The sequence below is a fragment of the Homo sapiens genome, chromosome 7 (genome assembly GCF_000001405.40).
Source record: "Homo sapiens chromosome 7, GRCh38.p14 Primary Assembly".
Taxonomy (NCBI): Eukaryota; Metazoa; Chordata; class Mammalia; order Primates; family Hominidae; genus Homo; species Homo sapiens.
In genome coordinates, this window is record NC_000007.14 from 113,476,167 (window position 1) to 113,498,695 (window position 22,529).

The 22,529-nt window shown below is 36.6% G+C and overlaps 1 long non-coding RNA gene across 1 annotated transcript; it reads right to left on the minus strand.

The window, feature by feature from the left end:
* Positions 1–10,131: 10,131 nt before the first annotated feature.
* Positions 10,132–18,859, minus strand: LOC124901813 (uncharacterized). The gene is made up of 2 exons (XR_007060643.1): positions 18,522–18,859; positions 10,132–11,471 (listed from the first exon to the last, which is right to left on the minus strand). It is a non-coding gene; the product is annotated as an uncharacterized LOC124901813 (long non-coding RNA).
* Between the last annotated feature and the right edge of the window lie 3,670 nt (positions 18,860–22,529).

The window sequence follows — 22,529 nt, forward strand, 5'->3', positions numbered from 1 at the left end:
TCCCTGAACCCTTGAACTTCCTAGGTAAGGCAATGCCCCACCCTGCTTCTGCTCACCCTAGGCCTTAACAAGTCCCAATGAGATGAACCAGGTACCTCAGTTGGAAATGCAGAAATCATCTGCCTTCTGCGTTGGTCTCACTGGGAGCTGCAGACTGGAGTTGTTCCTATTCAGCCATCTTGCTCTGTAATCTAGGCTGTGATATTTTGTTACGGCAGGCCTGGCAGTCTAATACAGGTCCACACTATCAACATGACTTACTACTGGTGGTATTATCCATGATCTAGTCCAGGTAGTTCTTGCCAGGTTTCTCCATTTTGAGTTACTTTTATTCTCCCTTTTCAGGCTCTATACTTTTGAAGCAAGTTGCTAAGTGCACCCCACATAGGAGAGGTCTGGGGGATGGGTTGTATAAGTGTTTGGCTCCACTTCCTGAATAGAAAGTATTCACATACATCATTTGGAACTTTTCTGTAAGAAAGATTTGTCTCTTCTCCCTATTTATTTATTTATTCAATGGCCTGTTTATATCAATATGGGCTCACATACATTTATTTTATACTGTGGGTTATAACCCGATACTAATGTATTTATTTTGTTGGTTAAATTTTTCTGCCTTTGACCTTTGGGAGTTCTTTCAGTTGTCTCTAATATCCCTTTGACATGCATCTATTATTGTGTTCTTAATTTTTTAACACTTCCTATTTTCTGTCATTATAAGATGTGCCAGGGTCATCTAGTATTTTTCCTGGCCAAGCCCTAGGATTATCCATATCTCCAAGGAGCCCTGCTTCATCTTACTGGAGAAACCAAGATCTGGGCGTTGGTTGGAAAAAATTTTAAATACAGTTTCATAAAGTTTTTCTAAAGTGTTCTCCCTTACCAATTACAATTTCTTGGTTGTATTTTCCCTCAATCATTGAAGGAAATGATACTTTTCTCTCCTTAATATAAAGACATACTTCCTTGGTATTTTCTGTCTTTCTTATTCACTGGAACAGAGTTTCCCATCAAGTGTGTGTTCTGTGAGCATAAGTTCTGTGAGAGGCTCTGTGGGGACAAAGTTTAACTTCATAATCAAATAATTTGGAAAGCATAGGGTAAGTATAGCCTCTGGAAAATCATATTTTACGTTGACAAATGATAAAAAGCTTTATTTTTATCTTTTCACAGTAAAAAGTTAACTTAGTTTAACACATTTTTTTTTTCCAAAGTCTCTTGGCTATAGATATTATCATTTTTGGAATGTGTACTGACATCTTCCAGAACTTGTATTCCTTGGAATTCACTTGGGTCAAGGCAAACATAATACCTTGATTTGGAAACCACTTGCAGCTATACTGTACAGCAGCTGAGAGAAGTATTTTCTTTTACATGCACTAAGGCTAGAATGAAAATAGTTATTTTGAGGTGCCCTGTGGTTGAATGGTCTTTTCCACAGAGTGTTGGATCTTTTTCTTTCATCTCCTTGAGCACCAATCCTTCTAGCTTTGCCAAACTCAGACTCATTATGAGTACCCATGATGCAATTAAAATGCAGTTTTAAATTAAAATGGTACTTTAACGGATAATGGTACAGGTACCTTATCCAATAGTGTTGCTCATGGAGTTGAGAATAATTTTTTCATCTGTCTCACTAGCAGTTAAACCAGACCATTTATCCACAACTATGACAGCATAATTTCCAGGTCCTATTTTACTCATGAATTGCTGGAAGATGTGTTCCAAAAGAGAGTGTATCCTAGCAATTAAATAAATGATAGATTGTTTCTGTGAATTTACTGAAATTAGGGATAATAAATTCAGCAAAGCTTTTATCAACAAAATGTAACTGATTAGAACAATCAATTACCTAGATTTTTTTCCTTCTGAAATTATACTTAGGGGAATCAGAGACCGAATATAACAAAATAAATTGATATCAGGAAAATCAACTTCAGAAAATTAATGTTCAGTTCAGGTACACCCAAATTTTTAATATTTTTTACCTGTAGAACGGTGGCATAAAACTAGAATAGAATCATTTTTATTAATGATAATGTAATATAAAAACAGCATTTCTTAAATACTTGCTATAAGTCAAGTACTATTCTGAGTACTCTACATATATTTAATTCTCACAATGAATATATGAGGTATATGCTATTACATTTATTGAACACAATGAGAAACTAAAGGTTAGAGATATAAGGTAACTTGCCCAAGGTCACATACTTTATAAGTAGTAAAGACTAGAATTTTAATCCAGGCATCCTGACATGAAGATGCATGACCCATTTAGAACTAGTATTAGTTCATATTGTTAAGTCAATAGGAACAACTGGATTAATTATACAATACTTTCATACGACTGGTAGGTTCTTGAAATCAAGCATGCATAATTTCTAATTTTTATGCACAGACCAGATCCCAGGAATTGACATTTTTAACAAGCACAACCCCTCTTCCTCACTCTCAGTATTTTATTGCAGGTAGTTCACAGTCAGTACTTTGAGAAACACTTGTAAAGTAATGTAAGTTCTGAGAGATTGAAGAACACAGAAGGCAAATATTTTAAGAATTTGAAAGCTCTAATTAAAATGTTTACACTTTGCAGTCTCACTTTATCTGCTCTTTTAAATATTACTTCCCTCCTTCTATAATATCATAGATATATATTAAGTGCTTAATTTGTGTCTCATACTCTTATAGCTAGAGACATCTTTATAAGTGCATAAAGTTTAAAATAATAATTTATATTAGGCTACATTAAGTCAAGTATGCATAGTTAAGTTCCTAGGGTAATCACTGAAGGAATAGTTTCAAAATGCTAATGGAGAGAAAATATGAATAGTAAAATAGTTATTTGACCTAAAGATAGCAAGAAAAGATAGTAACGAGAATATAAAATAGATGGATGAAATAGAAAATAACTATATCTATAATAACATTAAATGTAAATTGAGTAAATAATCCAATTAAGACCTAGAATATCAGAATCGAACTATATGACGATGAGTGCATCTTAAATAGAAAGACACAGAAAAGTTGAAAGTAAAATGTAAAAGGTATATCATGCAAGTAGTACTTACCAAAAATATTTGGCTTAGCTATATTGACATTAGAAAAAGTAGATTCTTATGACAATTTGTATTAGTAGCTAAAGGGATTTACATTTCAAAATGATAAAAAGGTCAGTCTCCTAGGAACATAAATCCCAAATCTTTATCCACCAATAGTGTAATTATTAAATACATACAGTAAAAAATTATTAAATACATACAGTAAAAAATTGATATAGCTAAACATTTTAATAGAAAAATCTAAAACTAAAAATTTAGTAGAAAAATTATATAACTAAACATTTTAATAGAAAAATCTACAATCATAATAAAAGACCTTAACACATCTCTTGTGAAGTTACTTTTAAAAAGTAAACAAAAATTCTCAAAGGATAGAGAAAATCTTAGAAACACAATTAACCAACTTGACTGAATAAATATATGTAGACTGTTTCACCCAACAATGATAGAATCCACATTATTTTAATTGCAGATGAAACATTTTAAAAATTAATAAGATCCTGGGTCATATAGTAAATATTGACGTATTTCAAAGCCTTGAATAATTTTTAGTTTTTCTAACTGGAATAAATTTATGTTAAAAATTAGTAACTGAAAGATGATTAGGACATTTCCAACCCTTGGAAACTAGACACTTTTAAATCCAGGAATCAAAAAATAAATTATAATGGAGATTACAGACCAAGCACCATGGCTCATGCCTGTGCTTTGGGAAGTCGAGGTGACAGGATCACTTGAGGCCAGGAGTTTGAGACTAGCCTGAGCAACATAGCAAAATCCTATCTGTACACACAGAAAAAGTTAGGTGAGTGTGGTGGTGCATGTCTATAGTTCTAGCTACTCACGAGTCTTAGGTAGGAGGATTGCATGAGCCCAAGAGTTAGAGGCTGCAATGAGCTGATTATGCCACTGCACACCTGCCTGGGAACAGAGTGAGACCCGGTCTCTCTTAAAAAAAAAAAAGAAAAAGAAAAAGAAAATACTTTTAATTAAATGATAGTTGAGATATTATATGTGAAAATTAATGGTATTCAGCTAAAGCAGTGTTTAGATACAAATTTAAAGTCTAGGATCTATTTATTAGAAAAAATAAGAGCTAAAAGAGGACAATCTAAGCTTCCTTTTCAAGACACACAAAATACAGCAAAACAAACTGAAGACTAGCAGAAGGAAATAATAAAGATGAGATAATAAATCAATAATATAAAACACAAACAAATAATGGAGGAAATAAAGGTTTTTTATGGGCAACGATTTTGGCCGATTAATGATGCTCACACATTCTTTGACACTCCTCTTATGGAGAGGTGCACTTTGTGTCTGCTGTCCTTAAATCTGGTGAGCTCTGTGACTATTTTGAATAATTAAATATGGCAGACATGTGCCATTCTCTCTGGATCTAGGCTTTAAGAAACTGTCAGTTTCCACTTCCTGTCTCTAGGAACCTGCACTTACAGCCCTGAGATATCATGTCAGACATCTGATTTACACGTAAGTGTTTCAGACGACTATTTCAACTAATTCCTGCCTGCCAGTTATCCCTGCCAAGATGTCTGGCATATGAGTGAAGCTGATATGGATCCTTCCAGCTGGAGCAAACCAGCTGGCCGCTGAATAGCACCAACTGATCTCAGTCAGTACCTCAAAAGAGTAGAAGAATCATCCAGCTGAGCCCTGCCCCAATTCCTACCCACCAAATCATAAGATATAAAAAAGTTTGTTATTCTAAATTGAAAGGTTTTAGATTATTTGTTATGCAGCAATAGATAGCGAGAACAAATACATATAATTAAATTTGACAATTTTCAATTTTATGTTGTTTTAAATGTTCTATTATGAAGTAATTTTAGATTTCCAAAAAAAGTTATAAGAATTTTACAAAATATTTCCATATTCATATAGATTTTTCAAATGATATTTTTCCACCTTTGATTTCTCTATCTACCCATCAACTGTCCATTTTTGAGTATTTGAGAGTAAGTAGCTGACATTATTCATTACCACTAATTACCTCACATACCTCAGGGTATATTTCTTTAAAACAAAGATATTCCCTCATATAACTGCAGGGCACTTTTTGAAATCAAGAGAGCATCATTGATTTAGTACTGTTATCTATATATAGTACTATACATAGGCCTTGTTCAGATGACACCATTTGCCCTAATCAAGTACTTTATAGTAAAAGGTGATCCTTTTGCAATCAGTTGTGTCTCCTGAGTCTCTTTTAATCTGGGACAGTTCCAGTCTTCGTCTTTTATAACATGATAACTCTCAAGAATACAGTCAACTTATGTTTTTAATTAATGATTCTTGATGTTTATCTACTGTTTCCTCATGAATAATTCAGGTTATGTCTCAAAAAAGAAACAATACTACAGAAGTAACGTACTATTCCCAGTGTGTCATATCAGAAGGCACTTAATGTTGTCTTATGCTATTATTGATAATGTTAACTTTAATCACTTGGTAAAGGTGGTGTCTGCAAAGTTTATCCACTTTCAGGTTGCTATTTTTCACTTTGTAACTAATAGATATCTTGTGATAGGATACTTTGAGGCCAGCTAGGTAAATGTCTTATTTCTCATTAAACGTCCCCTCACTAGTTTTGGCAAATGTTTTTATGTCACTTCAAAATTCCTATGTAGAAATCCTAACTCCCAATATGATGGTATTAGAAGATAGGGCATTTGTTAGGTGATTAGGTCATGAGAGTGGAGACCTCATGAATGGAATTAGTGCCCTTATAGCAGAGACTCTGGAGCACTCCCTTGCCCCTTGAGGACACATAAGACATTTGAGGACACAATGAGATATCCATCTATGAACCCAGGAGCAGGCCCTCAGAAAATGCTGAATTTGCCTGCAGCTTGATCTTGGCCTTCTCAGCCTCAAAAACTGCAAGAAATAAATTTCTGTTGTTCTTAGAGTCCACCTAGTTTATGGTATTTTGTTATAGCAGCCTGAACAAACTGAGACAATTGGTGATTTTTGTCTCACTCCTTTATCATTTTGATGGTTGCCAAATTATGATTTTCCAATTGTATCATTCTTTATACATCTAATACTACATTGTACTATAAGAAAGAACATTTCTTCATAATTGGTTGATTACTTAATTAATATTTGCATGGACTCAGGTACTCCTATTTAATGGGTTGTGATTTCTTATGGTCATTATATTGATGCTCAAATTGTTCCAGATTTAACTAGTGGGAGCTCTTTCAAAATACCTCTTAGGATTTTGTAACGTGTCCTCATTATTATTTAAGTATGTCTTTACTTTCTTGCATTACAGCATTACAAGATGTTTCATTCACAGGCTTTGAAGTTCGTAGCACAGAACTTCTTGCCCTTTGATGTTACCCATTTATGATACCCTATGTCCGACATTTTGTCTCTACACAGACACCAGAATGCTTACTTGACTTTATCGCCACCAGATTCTTGAGCCTCTTCTATGATTCCAGGACCCCTGATTGGATGTGCTCTATTTCCTCTATTTTTAAACCTGTCAGATATTATCTTTGCTTTTCTTAACTTACCACTCTATAACATGGGGTATGATCCTGTACCCTGTGTGCCTTTGATAAGTATTGGTGGACTGATGGTCATGCACAGAAGAGCTTGCCGCACTATAACCCTCAGGAAGAACAGCAAGCTAAAACATATGACCTAACTTCTACAGTTTTTTAGCATCACAAGAACATGCAGGGCACATTATTTTGAATGAGGACACTCAGACCATTAAATGTCAAAGTAGCCTAATTGTTAACGGGACACATGTAGTGAGAAAAATGTGTTTGTACTTGTTGAACAGAAGACAAATGTAGCCGAAAGTATTTAATATTGAAATACAGCTTAATCAGGTGCTTTAAACAATTAAGCCATATAATTTATTAAAGCATGGCTCTGAGTTTAAGTATCAACACTCTTCCTCTCCCATTCTGTTCATCCTTTGGAAGCCTACCTTCCTATCCCCATTTTGTTTAGTCACCTTTGGCTTGAAGTTGACCAGTATTCAGTGGCTAGTGGCTTCTATCTTATGGCAAGAGAAGGAAAAGAGATGAGAAGTAAAAGACAAAAATAATAGAGAAAATATTTAAAGGATTTGAAGCAAAGCATCTGAGGATATAGGTACTGTTTAGCAAATCTGAATATATTGCAACATTATTGCAAGGAAGGAGAGATATGTTAGGGAATTTCAGCACTAAAGATGGTCTACTTTTAGCAGACACATAAAGATAATTTCATTTGAATTTTTAAATTTCCTTTGGCATACAATATGTTCTTTGCTAAGAGAAAATACCTTTCATATGTCATTCTAGGCATTCTTCAACACAAAGCAGGACAAGATGTATTTTAAGGTAAAGAGTACAGACACTGGAATCAGTAGGAGTTGCTGTTTCCATTCATTAGTTTTGAGACCTTGAGCAAGACTATGAATGTCAGTTTCCTCATGTTAAAACAGGGATGATAATACTTATTTTGTTATGTGCTATAAAGCAGAGGTCTCCAACCCCCGGGGCCATGGACTGGTACAGGTCTGTGGCCTGTTGGGAACTGGGCCACACAGCAGGAGGTGAGTGAAGCTTCATCTGTATTTACAGCCACTCCTCATCACTCGCATTACCACCTGAGCTCTATCGCCTGTCACATCAGCAGCATTAGGTTCTCACAGGAGCACAAACCCTATGGTGAACTGCTCATGTGAAGGATCTAGCTTATGTTCTCCTTGTGAGAATCTAATGCCTGATGATCTGTCCCCATCTCCCATCGCCCCCAGATGGGAGCATCTAGTTGCAAGAAAAGAAGCTCAGGGCTCCCACTGAATCTACATTATGATGAGCTGTATAATTTTTTTTTTTTTTTTTTTTTTTAGAGAGTCTCACTCTGTCGCCTAGGCTGGAGTGCAATGGCATAATCTCTGCTCACTGCAACTTCCATTTCCCAGGTTCAAGCAACTCTCTTCCTCAGCCTCCCAAGCAGCTGGGATTACAGGCACCTGCCACCATGCTGGGCTAATTTTTAGTATTTTTAGTAGAGATGGGTTTTGCCATGTTGGCCAGCCTGATCTTGAACTCCTGACCTCAGGTGATCCACCTGGCTTGGCCTCCCAAAGGTGAGCTGTATAATTATTTTATTATATATCATGATGTAATAATAATGTAAATAAAGTGCACAATAGATGTAATGCATTTGAATTATCCCAAAACCACCCCACCACCCAGTCCGTGGAAAAATTGTCTTCCACAAAACCAGTCCCTGGTGCCAAAAAGGTTAGGGACAGCTATTGTAAGGGATAGAGTCCTTATGTGTATAAATCTTTGAGTCATGTGCCTACAACACAGTAGGTGCTTAACAAATGTTGCTACTACACAAGCAGATCCCAGAATTCCATGCTGGCAAAATCCTCTGAAGGTGTTATTTATAAAACAAAATAAGACAAGCATGTCTCCAGGCCTTTTCTTGGAGATTTTGATTCACTCATTCTGGGAATAGAACTGATAATATCTTCATTTCTTTTTTAAAGTACTTTGGGAGGCTGAGGTGGGTGGATCACAAGGTCAGGAGTTCAAGACCAGCCTGGCCAAGATGGTGAAACCCCATCTCTACTAAGAATACAAAAAATCAGCCGGGCATGGTGGCTGGCGCCTGTAATCCCAGCTACTCGGGAGGCTGAGGCAGAGAGTTGCTTGAACCCAGGAGGTGGAGGTTGCAGTGAACTGAGATGGCGCCACTGCACCTCAGCCTGGGCGACAGAGCGAGACTCCATCTCAAAAAAAAAAAAAAAAAGAACCTCTTATAGTGAATACCTTAGATGATTCTTACCAACAGTGAAAATAGGCAAACCCATAACAGAGCACTCATACAGCATAAGCCTGATAGAAATGGAGGTTGCCAGAACTAATAAGACTAATACCCATATGATCATAATGCCAATGATCTATTTCTAAGCCATACTTTCTCTAAGCTCCTATCCCCTTTTTATCTCACTGTCCAATTTACATGTTGTATATGCCTTTGAAACTGGAATACTCACATTGAACTTGGCCTTTCTCTTCATCCTCCACCTCCCAAAGAAGAAAGTCGCTTCTTCTCATTATTTCCATTTTCAGGTAGAAGCACAACCATCTTTCCATTAAAAAGATGGAGATGAAGGGAGGGCATCTTCATTCCTTCTTTTTCTCTTCTTAACTGGTCCCTTATCCCCAGTCTTGCTAATATCTTAATACCAGAGTAATCCTTGTAAAATACAAAACTAGCCATGTTTGGAAATCTACAGTGCCCTCCTATAATCTTCAGAATAAAATGCAAACTTCTCAGGGAAGCATTTGAGGCTTTATGATCTGACCATTGCCTCTCTTTCTTCAGGCTCACCTCCTACATTATTCCTTCCTTACCCTTCTCCCCAGCTAGACCACATTACTTGCTGCTCCCCAGAGGTGCAGCCTCATATCTACTTGACTTTGCAGTTGTTGGTGACTATGGTCTATTTGTGTTCTCCTAAAATTTATATGTTGAGATCCTCGCTCTCAAGGTGATGATATCAGGAGGTGGGGCCTCTGGTAGGTGATTAGATCGTAAGTGCAGAGCCCTTGTGCATGGTATTAGTGCCTTTATAAAAGATGGCCCAGAAAGTTGCTTTGTTCCTTACACCATCCCACGAAGCAACAAGAAACAGGCCCTCAAAAGACACTAAATCAGCCAGCACCTTAATCTTGAACATTCCAGGATCTAGAGATATGAGAAATAAATTTCTGTTGTTTATAAGCCATCCAGTCTAGGGTATTTTTGTTACAGCAGCCAGAATAGACAGACACTGGCCTTTTTTCTGCAATTTTCTCTATTATTGCAGTTGCTACATTTTACCCAACCCAGCAAAGTCTTCCATCATTAGTCTCCTAAATAGCTCCAAAGTATCCTTCCAGACCAAGAACAAGCATTGCATCCTCATGTCTGTTCACCAGTCTCATATGATATTCTCTTTTCCCATAGCTCTGACCATGCTATATTCTAACCATCAATTTTCTAATTTATCTTCTTCTAAACTGGGAGAAACTTGAGGTGAACTATCTTAATTATCTTTATTTTCTCAATTACTTGAAAAATCTCTGGTATATGGAAGGTATTCACTAAATGCTTGTTGAATGAATGAACAATGAGAGCAATAAATATTCCTTATTTATCCACTCAAAATTCACACTAACAGTTAAGTTAGGCGTAGTGACATTAAACAATTACTAATATTTCACTCTAACTATAATACATAGATTTGTCCTAATTTCAGGCACATTCTGAGGATATTCCTAAGGGTAAGTGATTAAAAATAAAGAATGCCTCTTCAAGATTCTACAAGAAAAATCTAGATTATTCTCATTTGTAATCCACATAAATTCTGGAAATTAGAAGTGGGAATGTTTCAGAGATGATTCCTAAGTCTATTTCAGCAGATGTAGAGAGGACAGCCAGGATTTCATCTGCCCCACTTAGTTCACTTTTACTTCATGGATCTTCCGATCACAAGTGACAACTTACACTTAATTATTTCTTCCTGTCACTAATGTGAAGAGACAGACTCCTGTCAGTAGAAAACGGCTTAGGAGAAATGATTCAGAAAGAAAAAAAAATTATAACTTCTTATGTAAGTGTCCAAGCAGTGTACTCTTATTGATTTTTTACTAGTGAACAAAATTTCTAATTGGTATAGTCACTACTTTTGTAGGTAATGGGAAAAATATGTAGACCTTGGTGATTTGCACGTCAATTCCTTGAGGAAAATATCTCAGGAAAATGCAAAAGAGGTGGCAAATTTACAATGTGTTTCTTGAAGTCATTTAAGCCTTTTCCTCCAATTGGAATGAAATTTATACTCTGGAAGCAAATAGGCGTTTCACTCTAACAGGAATCATTATAGCAAGGAATTTGGTGCAACAAAGGTCTTTTGATTTTTTCGAGGAGGCTTACCTCCTAATAAATACATCTTCATAACACACTATCCTACTGTGTCCAGAATTGGTGGGTTCTTGGACTCATTGACTTCAAGACTGAAGCTGCCGAACCTCGCGGTGAGTATTACAGTTCTTAAAGATGGTGTGTCTGGAGTTTGTTCCTTCTGATGTTCGGACGTGTTCGGAGTTTCTTCCTTCTGGTGGGTTCATGGTCTCGCTGGCTTCAGGAGTGAAGCTGCAGACCTTCGCAGTGAATGTTACAGCTCTTAAAGCGGCGCGCGTCTGGAGTTGTTCGTTCCTCCCATCCGGAGTTGTTCGTTCCTCCCATCCGGAGTTGTTCATTCCTCCTGGTGGGTTCGTGGTCTCGCTGGCCTCAGGATTGAAGCTGCAGACCTTCGCGGTGACTGTTACAGCTCATAAAGGCAGTGCGGACCCAAAGAGGGAGCAGCAGCAAGACCTGTTGCAAAGAACAAAAGACCAAAGCTGACACACGGTGGAAAGAGACCCAAGTGGGTTGCCACTGCTGGCTCCGGCAGTCAGCTTTTATTCCCTTATCTGGCCCCACCCACATCCTGCTGATTGGTCCATTTTACAGAGAGCTGATTGGTCACTTTTACAGAGAACTGATTGGTCCGTTTTGGCAGAGTGCTGATTGGTACGTTTATAATCCCTGAGCTAGACACAAAAGTTCTCCAAGTCCCCACGAGATTAGCTCGACACAGAGCACTGATTGGTGCATTCACAAACCTTGAGCTAGACACAGGGTGCTGATTGGTGCATTTACAAACCTTGAGCTAGACACAAAGTGCTGATTGGTGTATTTACAATCCTTTAGCTAGACATAAAAGTTCTCCAAGTCCCCATCTGACTCAGGAGCCCAGCTGGCTTCCCCTAGTGGATACCCTGCTGGGGCTGCGGGTGGAGCTGTCCACCAGTCCAGCACCACATGCCTGCACACCTTAGCCCTTGGGCGGTTGATGGGACTGGGCACCTTGGAGCAGGGGGTGGCACCCGTCGGGGAGGCTCAGGCTGTGTGGGAGCCCACGGGGCGGGGGGAAAGAGGGGGGTGGCTCTGGCATGGCAGGCTGCAGGTCCTGAGCCCTACCCCACGGGGAGATGGCTGAGGCCCTGTGAGAATTCAAGTGCAGCGCAGTCTGGCCAGCAGTACTGGGGGACCCAGCACACCCTCTGGAGCTGCTGGCATGGGTGCTAAGCCCCTCACTGCCTGGGGCCAGAGGCACCGGCCAGCTGCTCCGAGTGTGGGGTCTGCAAAGCCCACACCCACACGGAACTCAGGCACAGCCCTGGTTCCTGCCTGCGCCTCTCCCTCCACACCTCCCTGCAAGCAGAGGGAGCTGGCTTCGGCTTCAGCCAGCCCAGAGAGAGTCTCCCACAGTGCAGCGGCAGGCTGAGGGGCTCCTCAAGTGAGGCCAGAGTGGGCGCTGAGGCCGAGGAGGTGCAGAGAGTGAGAGAGGGCTGCCAGCATGCTGTCACCTCTCACTACTGTTGCTTGAATCCATTCTATAGATAAGTTTTTTATTAGGCTTTCCTTCAACAGAATGTTTCCTATGAGAGCAGTGATATCATCTGTCTTGTTTACTTGCATACTAATAACACAACAGTACTAAGTATTATATCCATACACAAACACTTTGTTTGGAAAGTTCAAGTTATGATACTTAATGGTATGGATAAAGAACAATTAGGACATTTGTTAGGTATCCTCTGTATAATTTTCCAAGTAAATTTAATAGCTTAAATATCAATGTAACATACCATGAATTAATAATGGACTGGGAGTGAACATTAATGATGAACATTTACATTGCACCATATGTACTTTTCAGTTTTATATCAATTAGTAAGATTAAACAACCTTTCCTTCATCTACCTCTTATTAAGACAAAACACTTGATTAGTAATTTTATTTTCTTTGGCTTTCTACCTAGAAGTGCTAGATTATATGGTAATTCCATTTTTAATTTTTTGAGAAACTTCCATACGTTTTCACATAATGACTGTAACAATTTACATTTCCACCAACAATGTATATGGGTTCCCTTTTCTTCACATTTTTACCTCAAAAACACTTGTTACCACTTGTCTTTTGATAATAGCCATCTTAATAAGTGCGAGATGATATTTTGCTGTGGTTTTGATTTGCATTTCTCTGATGATCGGTAATGTCGAGTACTTTTTTTACACATGTTGGCCATTTTTGTATTTTATTTGGAAAAATATCTATTCAGGACCTTTGCTCATGTGTAAATCAAGTTATTCAGGAATTTTTTGGGTTTTTTTGCTATTCATTTGTATGAGTTTCTTATATATATTGGATCTTAGCCTCTTATCAGATATATGGTTTGCAAATATTTTCTCCCATTCTGTGGGTTGCCTTTTTATTGTTGATTGTTTTCTCTATTGTACAGAAACTTTCTAGTTTTATGTAGTTCCACTTTCTTATTTTTGCTTGTATTGCTTGAACTTTTGGTGTCATATATAATGTTATACAGTTTTTCCCCTGTTTCATTCTAGGAGTTTTATAGTTTTAGTTCTTATGTTTAAATCTTTAATTTATTTTGAGTTTTGTGTATATATTCAAAGAAAATGAAATTACTGTCTCAAAGACGTATCTACATTTTTCACAATAACCAAGATATAGAATCAACCTAAGTGTCTGTCGATGGATGAATAAAGAAATTATGATATATATACACAATGAATTATCAGCCAGCCTTTAAAACGAAGGAAAGCCTGTCACTTTAAACAACGTAAATTAACCTGGAGGACATTATGTTAAATGAAATAATCCAGACATAGAAAGATGGTTCATGATCTTGCTTATGTGTGGAAACTATAAAAGACAAAAATCAAATACAAAGAGACAGAATAGAATAGTGGTTGTGGGGCAGGGGGGCAGAGGGGCAGGTTGGGGGAAATGGGGAGATGTTGGTCAAAGGGTACAAACTTTCAATTATAAGATGAAAAAGTTCTGGTGACAGCATGATGCCTATCAATCATTAATAATAATGTATATTTGAAATTTGCTAAGAGAATACATCTTAAGTATTCCCACCATAAAAAAAGGTAACTATGTGAAGTGATTGATATGTTAATTAGCTTGATGGTGCTAATCATTTCAGAATGTATACATGTATCAAAACATCACATTGTGTACCTTATGTATACAATTTTTATTTGCCAATTATACCTCATTAAAGCCAAAGAGAAAAAGCTTGATTTAGACCTACTCAGTTTTGCTTCTTGATGAAAAGAAAGATTAATTTATTTGTTCCTCCCTGCTGTGACTAGTCAACACAGCTTGCAGTTTAAAAACTAAAAAATACACTTACATAATAGAGCTATCAAATTATAAGATTTTTTTTACTAATTCAAAAATACATGTATAATGAATAGAATGAATGGCTTAAGACCTTTTCTCCCCCACATTAGTAGATGGGCTTTAACATTTCCATAGGAGGCTTGGATTTCCAATTTTTCCATGCTCATTAGACCATAATGGTCCCTTATCACTGCTGGCATTGTCAGAGATTGGACAGAAGTTCAGCAAAGCTGCGCATTAATTAGGCAAAGGTGTCAATGTCCTCCTCAGAGCTCTGCATACACAGCTGTGGCAGTACTGCCAGCTCTCCCAAGAGAGCGGAATAGCAGGAGTTAGACATTTTGTATCGTTTACATTTAAAACAAGGAAGTGGGAAATGTTAATATTTTCAAAAGCTTTTAAGATTCTGTGAGATAGTCATTCATTTTCCCCCATGTTTTAGTTTATCCATAATCATTTTCATCAGCAGGATACAGTGGGGGTTACAATACTGTGAATTCACCATGTCAAGGTATTCTTTGTTTCAGAATTAAGGCTTTTGTATTTGTATATTCAGAGAGGAAAACCAAAATTTAAGTTTTTATTATAGTCAAAGACTGAAGAGCACTTTTTAGTCAGGACTTTCTCAATTGCAAAGAATATAAACCAAACTCAAAGTAGATTCAGGAGAAAAGGGGAAATGTTGGTTGACATGATACAATTATAAAGAGGGCAACAATGAAATCGCCCTGGGGAATAACTTGAGGCAGAGGTTTTCATATTTCAGAACTTGTGTTCTCATCCTCTTTTGTTTTCAGTTTTAAACTGGTGTACTCCATAGACTTGTCCTCCAAGACCTCCAAACTTATCTTAAGTAGCTTCACAGCCATAGAAGAAAGAAGCTTCTCTCCCAACTCCAGTTGGGAACTATTCAAAGGAAAAAGAAAAATAAACCGCAAAAGAACAGTGATGATCTCTGACTAAAGCAGCCTTAGTCCAGAGCAAATATTGACAAATACAAAAATAAATGTTCAGATCATGCTTCTATTCTGAGGCATGATCTTTGTTAGTTTAAAATCCTGTGTGATACAAGTCACCCTAAAGAAAATCATTGATTTCAAAATATACAGAAAGAGACACTTTTCTTAAAGAAACCATCATTCTCAGCAAACTATTGCCAAGGACAAAAACACAAACACCGCATGTTCTCACTCATAGGTGGGAACTGAACAATGAGAACACTTGGACACAGGAAGGGGAACATCACACAATGGGGCCTGTTGTGGGGTGGGGGGCGGGGGGGAGGGATAGCATTAGGAGATATACCTAATGTAAATGATGAGTTAATGGGTGCAGCACACTAACATGGCACATGTATACATATGTAACAAACCTGCACATTGTGCACATGTACCCTAGAACTTAAAGTTTAATTAAAAAAAAAGCTCCGCCTCCCAGGTTCACACCATTCACACCATTCTCCTGCCTCAGCAAAAAAAAAAAAAAAAAAAAAAAAAAAGCTAATTACTTCACGAAGGAACAACGTATTTTTCTTTTAAAAATAGAATAGATTAATAAAGAGATAATAATAAAATATAAAAGAATTCCTCTAATTGAATTCCCTTGAAGTTGGAAAAACTGCCCCTTTTCCCTTTCTTGCCACACAAATTCATTAAACATTGTAATTTTATTGAGAAGCATTAACAGGTTATGAGGTTCTAGAGGCCCAAAAATATAAAGTCTTAATATGAATCACAAGGAGACTTAATACAGAAATAAAATCAGAGAGAACTCTGAGTGGCAGAAAAATTCTGAGGGATTCTGAATTTTCTCATTCCAGATTCTGTACTAAGCCCCTGGCATAATGTACTCAGGGCAGAAATAGAACTGGTCAGGTAATTGCCTAATGACTCCTTCTAGTTTTCATTTTGTCACCATTAAAAAACATCTCCTGAGACTTGGAACTATTTTTACTTAGTCAAATTTAATTTTCTCATGTTCCCTTCCACAAAGAGCCTACATATCAAGAGAAGTAATAAAAATAATTAGTGTACATTTCTCTGTTAATTGATGTTTATAGCTGGGATCAAGGAGGAGTCTATCCATATCCTATTTTGTGTATCAAAGGAGACAAAAAGATTCCTGGACTATAAACACCAGAACCACTCTGAGTTCATCTTTCCAGTGTGCTGCTGCAGCATAAGAAGGGCTAAAACTTGGAAGCAGACTGAAAGATACTGTAATAGTGGTCTCTTAAACATTTTTTTTTTTTTTGAAGAAGAAAGATATCGTGGGATTTGCTTTTGCTTTTTTCTATGAAAAAAGCAGGACCTATACAACGATGGTCTCTTTCTGTCAAATTCCATAAGAAAGGAAAAGTTAGAACTCTGAAGAAATGAGTTAACCCTCTGGGAAATTACTTTACTAGCTAAGTTAAAGGTAAGCTGAGATCATAGATAAGTATTAAAATGAGAAAGGGTACAGTAACATTTTTAACTCCAACAGTTGAGGAACTCTGAAAAAAACTTGAGAGAAAAAACCCTCTGTTTAAATCTGTAAGGAACAGAAGAATTAAGATTCATAATTGTTACAGGTTAATGAAGATGCTCTCTTATTTTACCCAAATATTTGTGGTCTTTTAAACTTTGCTCAAAGTTACCTAATCTTTAAAATATATCATTTTCATATTATCATTTGCTACAAATTTTATAATATAAAAGTACATGATTATTTATTTAGGACAGTTTATAACATTCTAAAATATTTTTAAATTTTATTTTGTATAGTTGAATTCTGGCGAGGTTGCATATTTTTTCAATCAGCTTTTTTGTGACCTGTTGATTCATTCAAGTTATTTCTCAACTGTCTATTGTGGTTTTTATGTCTTTTTGTTTTGTTTTGTTTTGTTTTTACTGATTTGATAAACAGATTAGTAGGAATGGGGAAACTTTGTTATTATTCCTGCTGAAATATCCTAATATGAATACATGTTTTAGAAGACGGTGTGGTGATTCCTCAAGGATCTAGAACCAGAAATACCATTTGACCCAGCAATCCCATTACTGGGCACATACCCAAAGGATTATAAATCATTATACTATAAAGACACCTGCACACATATATTTATTGTGGCACTATTCACAGTAGCAAAGACTTGGAACCAACCCAAATGTCCATCAACGATAGACTGGATTTAGAAAATGTGGCACCATGGAATACTATGCAGCCATAAAAAACAATGAGTTCATGTCTTTTGCAGGGACATGGATGAAGCTGGAAACCATCATTTTCAGCAAACTATCACGAGATGAGAAAATGAAACACCGCATGTTCTCACTCATAAGTGGGAGTTGAATGATGAGAACACATGGACCCAGGGAGGGGAATATCACACACTGGGACCTGTCAGGGGGTTGGGGGCTAGGGGAGGGATAACATTAGGAGAAATACCTAATGTAGGTGATAGGTTGATGGGTGCAGCAAACCACCAAGGCACGTGTATACCTGTGTACCAAAACTGCACACTCTGCACACATAACCCAGAACTTAAAGTATAATAAAGAAAATAACATAATTGAGTATAAATAAATGTTATATTTATTTATATATGATATACATGTATTATATATGATATACATGTATATATGATATACATGTATATATGATATACATATATTATATATGATATACATGTATATCATATATTATATATGATATACATGTATATCATATATTATATATGATATATATTTATATATTTGAGCATAAGTAAATGCTATAGTTTCATCACATAGTAACTGTGCCCATGGAAAGTCAGACTGCTTGGATGTGCAGGTCACAGTCCAAGCACTCCCATTCATTGGCTGGCAATTACAGAAATTTCAGGTTTATAATTAAGAGGATTAGGAATGATAGTAAAAGGAGTTAAAATACATATTAAATAATACAAAGAAATTAAGGGAAAATAACCCCTAGAGAGCTTTCTTTGCAATTGAAAATCTGTATAGTGGCAACTAAAGTTACAGCATGAAAAGTCAATTAACTTAAAACTATATTAATAATCTCTGTGTGTAATAACCTAAAATAAGAATATTAGATTCCCAGGAAAATTAAACAAGTTTCTAAGATTTCTTATATCATTATGACCGATTTAAATAAGTCAATTCTATTATTATTATTACTTACAATATGTTCTTCGAAAATGAAGCTCATTTTTCAAATCTAATTTCTGAGGATAGTGTCTAGAATCAAAAAGATGAAATGTTGTGCTTCACAACCCATTCTGCAACTTGCTAAAATTTCAGATCAAATTCTAAAAAACCTATGTAAACAGATACTTTCTATTTACATTGCCAGATTTTCCCCTCTGTTTAAAAATAACAGATCGGTCATGCTTGAAGGTTGCATCCCGTTTTAGGTGTCAAAGAAATAAAGTTAGATACCGCGGAGCGTTTTAGAGTCCACGTAAGCATATCTTTCTGTCTCACTGATAAGATCCAGTCCCTCCTCTGCATAGTTCTGGTGTTTCTTTTTAATCTGTCACGCTGTTGTGTAGACAGCTTGTGGCAGATGTATTCCATAAATGTTAAGGTACATTGGGTTCAGGATTGCTTCTGACATCAAGTGCATAGATAGAGCTTTATCGTTTCCAAATATGGGCTGATCTCCAGCCAAGAAAATCTATGATTCTAGGACATACTGACATAATGAAAACTCAGTTAAGTTCCCAAAGAGTGTAGCTTGTTTGGCTCTGACCTTTGGAGGGCAGAAGGGTTTATGTTAAATATTTGGTTGCATTGGGTTGGTGGACAGTCTATCTTTATTTTGACCTTTCTGTCTCTAGCTCTCTATTTTTCAAGCAGAAGACATAATCCTTCCCCTCAGCTAGAAAAGTGGCCCAGAACATTCCATAGCAATTAGTGGCCCCTATTGATAGTTAGACTTTTGCAACAAAAGCATGTGCCTTCCTTGGTTGTACAATTTCTTATTTGTTCTTTAAAAGTAAATTTCCAGGAATAAATCCAGGAACTACCTGTGACTCTCTCTTCCCTCTCTCCAGTTCCTTTTCATAGCTAGAATGGTCCTTGCAAAGAGTAATAATTACCTATGCTTCCCACCTCTAGGTCACTTCAAATGTATACTTTATCATGTCTGTTTCATATCTCCTAAAGAATCTAGCCACAGTGAAATTCCACCTCAATCTGTAGTATCAAGAAAGTTCAAACATATACTCTTTCCTAGTTTACTACCTAACAAATTCGTATCACACAAGGAAGAAAAAAATTCTTTATAACACATAAACATAAGTTATTCGACTCTTCTATTTGCTGGGTCTTTTCCTAGTAAATAAAAAGTGGGGACTACTTTCCATATTCTCAGAGGCATCATTTTAATATGTTTTTCCTACAATATACATTTTCCTTAGACCAAGTTGTATATTGCCATGTATTATTTTAAAACCAGGATAAATCGAAGTTTTAGATTGCTTAGCTACTACTTACTGCAGGATGTTAGAACAAATGAAAAACTGAAAATAATTCAAGAGATGATCCTTATGTTGGTAATTGAGTTGGTACAAACTACTATGTTAAAAGAAACAGAAAAAGCTAATTTAAGAAATGACCATTTCCTTTATGCCTTGTGAGCAGCAGGTTAAAGCTCAACGGATCTTTTTTAACATAATGGGGTACTGGGGAACCTTGTTATTAATGCCTCACTGAAAAACATTTATCCAAGGTGTAAACAATCGACAAAACTTGAAATGTCTACCTGCCAAACATCAGGGCTTCAAGGTCTTTAAGCACTTTCTGTGCAGCAGGGGGTTGTATTTATTATTTGAAAGGATGACCTGTTAATGGGATCCAGTGGTATTGGAATCTGACATATAACCTAGAGATAAAATTGGATGAATTGGATAATTTTTTGAAATGAATACCAGGGTAGGAAAAAAGATGTTTTTCAACATTATTAAATAATGCCGATATTTTTCTGTGTATCTAGGGGGATTCTCCTTGCTGTATGTTATTAATGACTCCTGAAAACAGATAATGAAATTGACTTTAAATATTGTTCATGTGGATGCTCACATCTAGAAGGGGTGTGTGTCGTGTGTGTGTGTGTGTGTCTGTGTGTGTGTGTGTTTAAACTAGAATCTAATTTCCATCTCCTATGGGCTTTTAAAGGCTGTCTCCATAGCGATGACCAATGAGAGGAGAGGATTTAGCAGGTTTCTTTCTCAGTATATGTGGCACAGTCATCTCTTTTTATGTCCTTCTATTTGTTCCCTATATGCCATTACTGGCTGCCTCTATGGCAACAGCCAATGAGCTCTTGCACATACATCACTGCACCCTCTGTATATGCTCCTCTGTGTGTGCCCTCATGCACTCAGTGGTATCATAAAGCATCTGAGGAGTTGTACGTGCCCAGTGAGTTGGTTTGGTGCCCCTGGAACCTCCTCTTCCTTCCATGCCCTCAGGATAGCATGGATCATAATCACCTTAAAAATTGTACCTGCTTGAATTGTCCCTCCCTGTTCAGTACACATTAATCTTCTCTGACCTAGGTTCCATGGATATAATGTGTTCATTATAGAAGATGAAAGATGAAAGCTTGTTGGCTGCGTAGCTTTGGGAGAACCTCAACTTGTAAAATATGAAGTCCCGGTATGGGATAGATATTTAAGTCTAGCAGAACTTTCTTATAAAAGGATACATTCTAGTCAACATTTTGATATTTCATACTACTTCTTGGTAGGATTTAAAACACTAGATTTGCATTTTATTGTTTTATAAACAATTATCATGTAAGTGATTTTTCTGCATGTGGTATTTATTTATTTTTCCTAGGGATAAAAGCAAACATTAAACATAAAATCCGCCCTCAAGAAGCCTATTTTCGCAAACAATCATCTTCCATACCCACTTTGATGAGATAATCATCTAATGAAAACAAATTGATGGTAATCAAATTGATGGTATACATTAAAAGAGGTAAAAATTAAAGACAAAAGAAGTATTGGTAAGTAGTTCAGAAATGTGTACATTTAAAACAAAAATATGAGATTAAGAGAAAACTAACCTGGTATTTAGATGTTTTTGTTGTTTTGCTTATGTTTAACTTTTAGACTTTCTCATAGAGACATTGTAACTAAAATCCACACTTCTGTAATATTGTGCTTGTAATTTCCATTTCAAACCCTAAAGCAAAATTTAATTTAATTCAATTTGCAGTTTGGAGCACAGTGTAGACAATTTAAACTTAACTATATCTAATTATTTTCACCATTTTGTGTTTTAAAATTAACAACAAATCTTGCAATAGCATATATTCTAATATGTTCCTTTTCAATTGGTGATAAATGGCAGCAGAAATCCTTGTAAGGAAAGGATCCAAAGAAAACATTCTTGTGAGCTATATTGATTGTCACTCATTGTAAGAAAAAGCAAACACTTTGTCTTCACAAATTGGGTCCTCAGGCCTGCAGGAGGATTCCTCTTGAATGGGGGTTGTTATTACTCCAAGAGACTGGGGCTAGGGATGGCATAGACAAAGGAAAGCTGAAAAACTCATATTCAAGACTAAATCTTAGAGATCAGAAGTGATTCCTTCAATGACTACTCAGAAGTCAGCTACCACAGATCAGGGAACATAGTCATAACAACATCATAAAACTACTTAAATTTTGTAATTTCCCCATGCATTTTGGTTTTGCCATCCCCTTAAAATCAAAAGTCCTGTGTGTTTGTCTTTGGGGACAGCAAGAAAGCCTGAAGTTGCAGAGACTATCCCTCTTTGCTGCTATATTAGTGGTGAGAAGATCTTTGAGGATGAGAGAGGGGTGGAAGCACTGTGGACATTACTGAGGTTAATGTCAAACAACAAGGCCAGCACAGAAGCCAATCTGGGTTATAGGCACACTGAGTATATCTTACTAACCACACAGCATCATGACCCCCCGATGCATTCAATTGGGATGATGTTATGTGCCATTTAAATCTTTATCACTAACTCTTTATCACATGCCATGAGACTCAATCACTGAAATCTTAGTCTATTCATTTATGCAGCCAACAGACACATGAAAAAATGCTCATCATCACTGGCCATCAGAGAAATGCAAATCAAAACCACAATGAGATATCATCTCACACCAGTTAGAATGGCGATCATTAAAAAGTCAGGAAACAACAG